Genomic DNA, 9,237 nt, shown 5'->3' with positions numbered 1-9,237 from the left:
ATAATCTGAGAATAATCTGAATGTTGTCAATTCAAATAATATTTAAGAAAACTCACACCATGGCAAATCTGAAATGCCCTGAAATCCTAGCTCAGCAAGGAAAGAAACTCAATAGAGGTTTCCCCAAATTTAACAGCAATCGTAAAAATTACATTATATTGCTAGTAAAGAGTTGAGAATTTGAAAGAAACTCCTATAAACTATCAAAACTAAAAAGCAAATTTCCATCAACTACGTTAGAGGATACTCTGAATTATCTTTAAATTCTTCTATGGGAAAGGATATTACAAAATTGCCAAATGAAGAGACAACGTGATACAACCAAAAGAAAAGTAGGAAAAAAGCATTACAGAGCTGTAATTAAGAAAAATTGTTCTTTTTCCCCACTACATTTTGTGATATTGCTAACTTGTAAATATTGCAAAACATGTAGTGATTTCCTCTCTTGGTCTAAATAAATATTTCAAATTGTAAAAAAAAGTAGCCATTACAGTCTGAAACTCCTCTAATCTCACCATCAAATTCATGAGTTTTCCCTCCACCATGGGAAGCATCAATTTTCTATGATTCTTAAGAAAGTCCCACTGACAGTGATGAACATGTTTTCCAGAATATTCCAGCCAAAGCCACGTGGAGGGCTTGCTGGCATTCCTAATGTGACCTCAGGGGAACTGGACAGCCCCACCCCTGAAGCTGCCTCAAAGGAAGTCACAGGGTGGGGATTGGTCCCGGCCCCTGCCTATCATTCTGCCTTGTGGGTGGGACAAAGGGCAGATGCCTCCCCACTGGAGGAAGTCACTGACCCGCGGCGGGGCGCCACTCCGGGACCTCTCCAAAAGGGAGGTCCAGAACAACTTGGACTTTAAAAAGAAGGTTGAAACCATGTGCATAATTTCTGAGTGGTGTTTAATATTGCTCTGGGCAGGTAATTGTGATGATCAGCTTGATATGTGAATCCTTCGAGGCCACAGTCATGTTATTCAATGAGTCCCTCAGCTGAGCATTGCAGGGAGAGATGTTAGAGTTGTGGTTTAAGCCCATAATCACTGACTTCAAGTAAAGGAGGTTGTCCTGGATGACCTGGGTGGGCCTGATCAGTGGAAAGGCCTTGGAGCCGGCAAAGGCCCCTGAAGAAGAACAAATTCCTCCTGTGACAGTGGCCTGGGCCCATGCCTGTGAGTCACAGCCGTTCCTGATAGCCTGTCTCATGGACTCGGGACTTGCCTGGCCAGACCCCATGGTCACCAAAGCCAACTCCTTGCATAAATCCCTTAATATCTGCCTCCTACTGACTCTTTCTCTGGTCAAACCCTGACTGATACAGTAATAAGGGGGCAATTTAAAAAATCTTTTCATCTGAAGTTTTCATCTCATCACAGCCCAGGCCTTTCCCCTGCAAGCTCTCACCTCATCACCCCACAGTCTGCCTGTGCTGGCTGCTTGGCCTGGACATCTGCCACTGCGGGCTGGGTCTTCCCCTAGCCAGCCCTCTCATCACTCCAGCTGCAGAATCACATTCCACCTGCTTGGAGGAGGCCCCCACGATGGGCGGCTAAAGCAGCCCCTTCCCCGTGGTCACTCGGGCCGCACCTGTGTGCTTCCTGCGTGGGGTTTGCTTTGCCTTGCTTGCTATTTTTTTTGTCAATGCATCTGCTTCCTGATTACTGGCTGTTGCCCACTCCTGCAGCATCTACATCCCCTGGGGCTTGTCTGTTCTGCTTCTGCTTTACCCCAGTTGCACATCCTGGAGTTTTGCTCAATACATGTTGTAGCATCCATGGATGACCTGAAGGCTGGACAGCCAGGGACTGGGGGGTCACCGCCTTTCCTGTCTCATTCCAGTTCCTGCTTTTGTCCTGGATGACCTGGGTCTCAGGGAAAGAACTTCACTAAGACATGACCTGTCTTCCAGCTCCAGAGGCTGCAGCTGGGATTTGGGATTCTGAGACTTCTTGAAGGGGACACATGGCTGGCTGGCTCCAGTGCCCGGGCTTGAGAGCTCCAGGATGGCCCTGCCCTGGCCGCTGAGCACCTGGTCTTCCTCCTGCTCCCACGGTTCCCATGGAAAGTTTCTGGTCTGCAGTGTGATGCCAGTGGCTCTGGAGCTGCAAAATGTACACAGCCCCAGGTTCTGAGGGGGACATTCTGCTTCATATTGAAACAATGGGCTGGACGTGGCAGGAGGGTGTCCAGCCCAGCTTGGGAGATATTCAGTGCACTTGGACCTGGTTCTTGGCTATGGCTCAGGCTGGGCACACACTGAGTTCAGAGTCTGCAGAGAATTCAGGGCCAGGAGCCAATCCCTAGTTTAGGCCAGGCTAAGGTCAGGGATGTTTCTGTTCCTTTACCCTGGAAGGGTCCTGAGAATTCCTTCCATCCTCACACCATGCCAACACCACACCTCCGCTAATAATAAACAGGACATGTGTGCGTGCACGTGACTCCATCTGGCCCCTCAGAGCCTGGTTAGGGCAGTGCCATTCCCTTGGTATAGAAGTGGAAACTGAGGCTCAGAGGGGTGGAAGGCTATGCCTTGGTGTGGGCAGAAGGGATGGGAACCCAGGTGTCCTGATTCTGTGGAGATGGGAAGAAGGTTTTGTGAGTTGCAGGAGCACAGAGCACTCTCCGCTCCAAGGAGGGAGGGTGGTGATCCCCTCACTTCATACCTGGCGAGGGTTTTGTGGGAACATGCAGACAGCTCTGTCCGCGCCCGGCCTTTGGAGGGCTCAAGGGACTCATGCCTGAGGGCAAAAGGGGCCTGGGTTGAAGAACTGCGGCTGCTTCTGAAAAGCTGAAACTCCTCCAAGAGACGGTCAATGCTGCATGCATCCTGGGCAACTGAGCCCCTTAAAGAGAGGGGCTCCTCTCCGGGACAATGGCCCACAGGGGTGCGGCCAGGTAGGAGAGGCCCTGCTCATCCCCACAGAGCCGTCAGTCCATCGGAGGAGGCTCTGCTGCGTCCCAGGCAGTTCAGAGCTGTCACACACGGGACTGGGGGGGAGCAGCTGTCCACCTCGTCTCCCTCCCGACCCTGCCTGGCTCCTGAGCCCGAGTGAGGAGGCTGTGTCGGAGTGATGGACGAAAGCCTGTGGGCAAAGAGAGGAGGTCCAGGCCACTTCCCTGCAAGCAGTCAGCTTACCGCAGGCACCCGTCGTGCAGCAAATTGTGCTGAATCAAGGAGCAAGTTTTGATTCTTACTCAGGACAGGACTTTTTCCACTGCTAGACTGAGGCCGTCTGTGACTCACACTGACCACAGGACTGTCTACTGCTAGAAAGCGACCAGCAAAGTCATGGTCATCGCCTGAGCTCCCATCTGGTCAGGGACAAGGCTCCTTCCCAGTGGACAAGTTTAAAGGGCCAGTGGATGACAAAAATCAGATTGGCTTCCTGAACACATGGGCTGACTCTCATCTGTCCAGTATGTTCCCAGCTCCACTGGCTGGGGGCTTGCCACAGGTGGGGCCACGTGTGACTTTCCTGCCTTCATTGATCCGGAGCCTCGCCCCATCCATGGGGCATCACAGGCCTTCAAAAAGATGTATTGAAGAGATGAAGAAATGTGATGGTCCCACAGGTCCTTAGTCATGGACTATCTTGAAGCGAGGGAGGCCCTCACTGTGGATCATGGAGCAGGGAGAAGAGCTGGACGTGAGGGTAGGAGAGGGGATGGTACCTCCTGCTGCTCTGGGTGCAGCCCCGTTCCTGGAATGCTTTGGCAGTGGAGGACGAGATGCTTTCAGCCTTGGAGAGTGGTATGGGCGTGTACAGGGGGCCCATCCCAAAGGGGGTCCCAGGTGCCTGTTGGAAGGCACCCCTTTCTCTGTTCCACTCCCCTTGCTGTCTCTGAAGTTGCTGCATGATAATTTCTCTCCACCGTTTCCTCCCTTCTGTTTTCCCCTCTCCCTTCCATATTTGCTGAGCACCTAGTATGTACCAGGCCTTGCTCTAGGCGCTGGGAAGTAGCCTGAGTGAATGTCTCTCCAGTGCCTCCTCTGGGCAGGTGCTACTCCACGTGTTAGGGTCCGAAAGTGAACCAGGCAGCCCCGGCTAGGAGTCGGCCATCAGAGCTGGTGCCGGGGTGGACCCAGAGATCCACCCAGGCGGAAGGAGAGGCTTGAGGAAGGACAGACCATGGTGCGTCCCAGGGCCAGAAATTAGGCAGGTGTGAGCAGAACACGGTGAGCAAAAACGTGAGCGGGAAGATCTGTGGTCAAATCACGGAGGGCTCTGTGAGAGGCGTTTTGACTGTCTTCTGCTTGTGAGAAGCCACTGAAGGTTTTGATCAAGGAGTGATAACAGCAAGCAGGATCATTCTCACACAGGGGTCTGTCCCAGAGCGGGCTTTCCACAGGAAGCCACCGAGCCACCCCTTTCATCAGCCTTGTCTGGGGCACCTCCTGGGGGGAGGATGCTGTCATTATTTCCCTTTGGGGGTGGCCTCTGGAGGGGACCACCCGGCATGACCTCCCATTGACCCATCTCTGCCCAAGTCCGTGGCTGTTGGGTTCTCTGAATGGCCAAGAGATGAATTCATCGACCACCTCCTGCAGGGCCACTGTCTGAGCGTGTCTGCTGCTTAATCAAGGGACAAGGACGCTGTGTTCCGGGCTGGGCTCGCCAACATCCTTGATGAGTAACTGGGACAATCAAGAAACAGGGAAGTGGTGACAATGCCACTATTGTGCTTTCATTCCAGAGCCCAGAGCACCAGGTCTGCATGGCAGGCTGGGCTGGCAGCCGCAGCTGCTGGCAAAATCCCCTTCAGCCTCATCAGTCACCCTGGTGGGGGGCCCAGGGGAAGGTCCAGCTGCCCCCAGGGGCTGCCACCTCCGCAGACCCACCAGGGGCTCACAAAGCAAACATCTCTTCTTGTCTAGACAACAAAGGCGGCTTTCTGCAACAGACCCAGGCACATACGCACATTGGAGGGCATTCGGATTCATTTGTTCATTCATTCATTTATTCCTTACTCACTCAGTATTCATCCAGTCCCTTTGAGCATTTCACCCAGAAGATGAAAATGAGCAGCCGGTGCTTAACAGGCAATCATGTTTTCCACGTCAGGCTGAGTTTTCAGATTCCATGATCATGTTTCATCCTCACAACAGCCTCGGGCGCTGGGTTCCGTTAACCTCGGCTGCCCGGGGCCGGGTGGCTGAGTCCAAACGCCTCCTGACCTCTCTGGATAGTGTGGTCTTGGGCCGACTCCTTCACCTCTGTGATACGATACAGTGGGAGATTTTAGATACCTCTTTCCATTTTAATTTTCAAAGATCTAGAGACAAAACTATGAAAGTATACCTAGAGAAGCTCTATATAATTTAATTAATAAATTTGATCCTATAGATGGGTGAAGATGAGACCACCCAGATGGGTGATACTACCTAGATTTTCATCAACAGTAAAAGGACAAATACATTATGGGTTTTTTCATCCACCAGAACACAATGCAACTACTCAGGAAAGTTGACACACATAGCCACATCCAGCAATGTAGGGGAATCTTGCCTGCGTAGGGTAGATCGAGAGCACCAGACACAAAAGCATTTGTATTTTAGGGTTCTGTTTACATAAAGTTCAAAAACAGGCAAAACTAATCTATGCTGTTAGAATTCATGATAATGGTTATCCTTGGATGGGGTATAGAGAATTTCTAGAAGGGACACCAATGGGGTTTCTGAGGAGATGGTGATATTTTATTCCTATATCTATGCACCGGTTATAAGGGCATGTTTATTACATACAAATTCATTGGGCTGACATTTATGATTTGAGGAAAGTTTTGTAACTATGTTAATCTTGGTAAGAAGTATGCTAAAAATCTAAGATTTATAAATAAAACACAACAAACCAAACTAAAAAATTATGTCCTAAACAACTATTGGGCCAAAAAGAAAAACCATAAAAGACCTGGAAAATACTATTCTTCCAAGAATTTGTCCTATGTAATTAATCATGGGCATGTGCAGACATTCATCAGAGAATTTTTATTGCAGAATGATTCAGAATATTCAGAATAAGAAATTGAGTATTACCGAAGTGTTTAACAAAGGAGATTGGGTGTATATCATAACACAACCAGACAATAGAATATTGTACAATTATTAAAATTATATCGTACAGAAAAATACGTGATGATGTAGAAAGGTTTGTATTGTATTATTAAATGGTTATGATCATTTTTATAAAAAAATTCTTGTGTCCTTGTTTATTGGACAAGGAAAAATAACTGAATAGAAACACACCAAAACATCAGCCGCCATTATCTCTGATAATGGAATTACAGGTTATGAGATGATTTTGTATTCTTTTTTACATTTTCCAAATGCTCATCTGTGAATATGTATTATTATTGTATTCTCCAAAAAGTTTGTTTAAAACAAGATAACTCTATTTTTGCTCTAGCAGTTAGCACGTGCCCAGTACAGAATAAATTTCTAGTTGACATTTCTTGAATGAATGAGCGGTTGGTCTCTAGGGTAAAACCTAGAATGCTGAGAAGGAAGACAGGAGTGACTGAGATATTTACCACGTCTGACTGGATGAGGGACATTTTCATGGAGGATGTGGGGCGGCAGAGTAGCGGCCTAATAAATGTTTGTAAAAGGAGGGAAGGATGGGCAGGAAGGTAGAGATGGTGAAAAATCACTTTCCAGGTTTAGGCACCAGATTGAACAGAGCAGAGCAGAGAGGATTTTACAAATGTGATTTCTGAGACGAAGAGACCCTACACCACCCTTTCCATCTTTTGAGCCTCCTGGTATATTAAAACCATAAAGAAATACCAATGCACGGTTGCAAAATTGCAGCATACTTCATATGGTCACATTTAATAAATAATAACTTATATACAAACTGAGATAATGCCAGCTTGAAGAGGCTTATGAGAGTCGATTATTAAATATTTAGGAAACTTTTGTGTTAGTTCTTAAACCATCAATGGCCTGCAATCAGCCATAGTGGCAGTATTTACACCATGGTAATTGGCAAACAACACAAACGAAGGGGGATCTCCCCTTTCTTGATTGTGGAGAGCTGGTTCACCAGCACACCCCTGGATATAATTTGCACTGTCCACAAGATAATTGCAGCACTCAAAAAAAAAAATGAATTCTTAGCAAATACTGGTGTGGGATGGAGTTTAGAGATGTTCATACTATACACATGTTCTTCTTCCAGTCCTGCCAGGGTGGCTCTGTGACTGTGTGCAAAGCTTCAAGTGGAGAAGCTTTCCAGTGTACTCTGGGACTTTTTGGGCATGGAGGCTTGGGCCAAGTGTCTATTTTGCACATCATACCTCCCACTTACCATGGCCTCTGCAGGTGGGAGACCCCCCTCCACCAGCCCCTGTTATCCAAAGCCTCCTGGCATTTCTTCCTACACGAAGCCCGTCTGCCAGTCAATTCCTGTGATTAATCTGTCCTAGCTGAGATTTTTTTAGGGTGGGGTTGGGGGTAGGGGAAGACCATGGCTTTCCATGCACCACAGCCATTGACCCGAGCCCCTCAACTTCTCTGGTTCATGAAATCATTCAGGGCAAATGGTGCCTCTCTGTGCTGTGGGTGAATGCACCCAATTAGTCACTTGGGAAAGGTAAACCACAGGAGACGTCATCAATCATTCTTCAAACAGTAACCTCCTTTTAAGTTGCATCAAAAGAGGTTATGTTAGCTGTGCAATTGTCTACAGATGAGGAAGGAACTTTCAGAGCGAGAGGAGCTCCTCTCCTCCCTCTCCTCTGCTTCCTCCCTCCCCTCTCTTCTTTCTCCTGTCTCTTTCTTTCCCCTTTAGCAAACTGCATGTGTCCCCTGCTCTGTGTGGGGCTGGACCTGCAGGGGTGAGCAGTCTCTTCTCAGCCTTATGTGCTACACTAACATTTATTGTCACAAGGGCCAGTTATCTCACCGCGAGGGCCCTGTCTGCTTTGCAGTCACGATGAACGGCAGGGTCTTCCCTTGGCCTAGAACATTCTTCTTCCATCCCCATGCCCTGACCTCAGCTCTCACCTGGGCAGCTGTCACTCTTCCTTCAGAGAAAGGGTCCCTGAAAGACACCCCTCTCCAACAGTCATTTCTATACCTCATAAGTTCAGCAATAATATTCCAAAAATATTCATTGAGCACTTCTTCTGTGCCAGGGCCACATGAGACATAAGAAATGATTTTTGTGGGCTGGCACAGTGGCTCATGCCTGTAATCCCAGCACTCTGGGAGGCCGAGGTGGGTGGATCACTTGAAGCCAGGAGTTCAAGACCAGCCTGGCCAGCATGGGGAAACCCAGTCTCTACTTAAAAAAAAAAAATAGCCAGGTGTGGTGGCACGTGCCTATAGTCCCAGCTACTTGGGAGGCTGAGGCATGAGAATCGCTTGAACCTAGGAGGCGGAGGTTGCAGTGAGCCGAGAGTGTGCCACTGCACTCCAGCCTAGGCAACAGAGTGAGACTGTCTCAAAAAAAAAAAAAAAAAAAAAAAAAGAAATCATTTCGTTTTCCTGCAGTTCTTGCCCCTAAGGAGACTTTCATTACTTCCAGCACCTCTAAGAGCCTCTCTTGTCATATTCAGAGCTTCTTGCTTACAGAGTAGGGGTGCGGTTTTTATTGAGTGCCTACTATATTCTTTTCCTATTATTCACTGAATACTTATTCACTGGCAGCCATTGCTGACAATCTCTGTTTCTGCTGAAAAGTTGTGGATTTTCCCCAACAGGGGGTCTGAGACTTCTCTCTTCCCTCCACCTTCCTCCTTCAGCTCAGCTCCATCTTCCCACAGAGTTGCATTTTTCAACTCGATTAAAAGATGCCATTTTCACCTTTGATCAAGGCTAAAAAATACAATCGAGATGTCTGGTGGCAGCAATCAATATTGTAATAAAATTACACCTAATTTACTCAGTACTTCAGGTACAACAGGGGTCATTTATCTGAGTGGGGCTTTTTAAAGTTTCAAAATAAGGAAGACGTATTTTGCTCATGAAATTTTTATGCTCTGCCTTCACTAACTCAGCCATTAATTGCCAAGAACTCCAAGCTCTGACCCACTTAGGAAATCGATGCAAGAGAATGTGAGTTTCTCAGACGTTCCCAAATTGTCTAGTCATGAGACCAGAGCACGGGTGGCAGGCAAGGTGGCCGCAAATGCCTGATAGTTTATCTGGACTACATTGGGATGAAAATTACTCTGATTTCCATAGTAACCCCTATTGTTGTTTAAAAAGGGGAAAAGAATGCTTACGGGGAG

At 47.9% G+C, this 9,237-nt stretch overlaps 1 annotated feature.

Moving 5' to 3' along the window:
• Positions 688 to 857: a silencer, noted in NCBI's record as "fragment chr20:56596630-56596799 (GRCh37/hg19 assembly coordinates)". NCBI's record gives its function as "represses an EF-1alpha promoter that drives an FKBP-Casp9 reporter gene in an ReSE screen in K562 erythroleukemia cells {active_cell/tissue: K562}" and the evidence as "EXISTENCE:reporter gene assay evidence [ECO:0000049][PMID:32094911]".

Source organism: Homo sapiens, chromosome 20 (genome assembly GCF_000001405.40).
Source record: "Homo sapiens chromosome 20, GRCh38.p14 Primary Assembly".
Classification (NCBI taxonomy): domain Eukaryota; kingdom Metazoa; phylum Chordata; class Mammalia; order Primates; family Hominidae; genus Homo; species Homo sapiens.
Note: the sequence above shows the minus strand (reverse complement) of the source record. Positions and strands in the feature narration are given on the sequence as shown.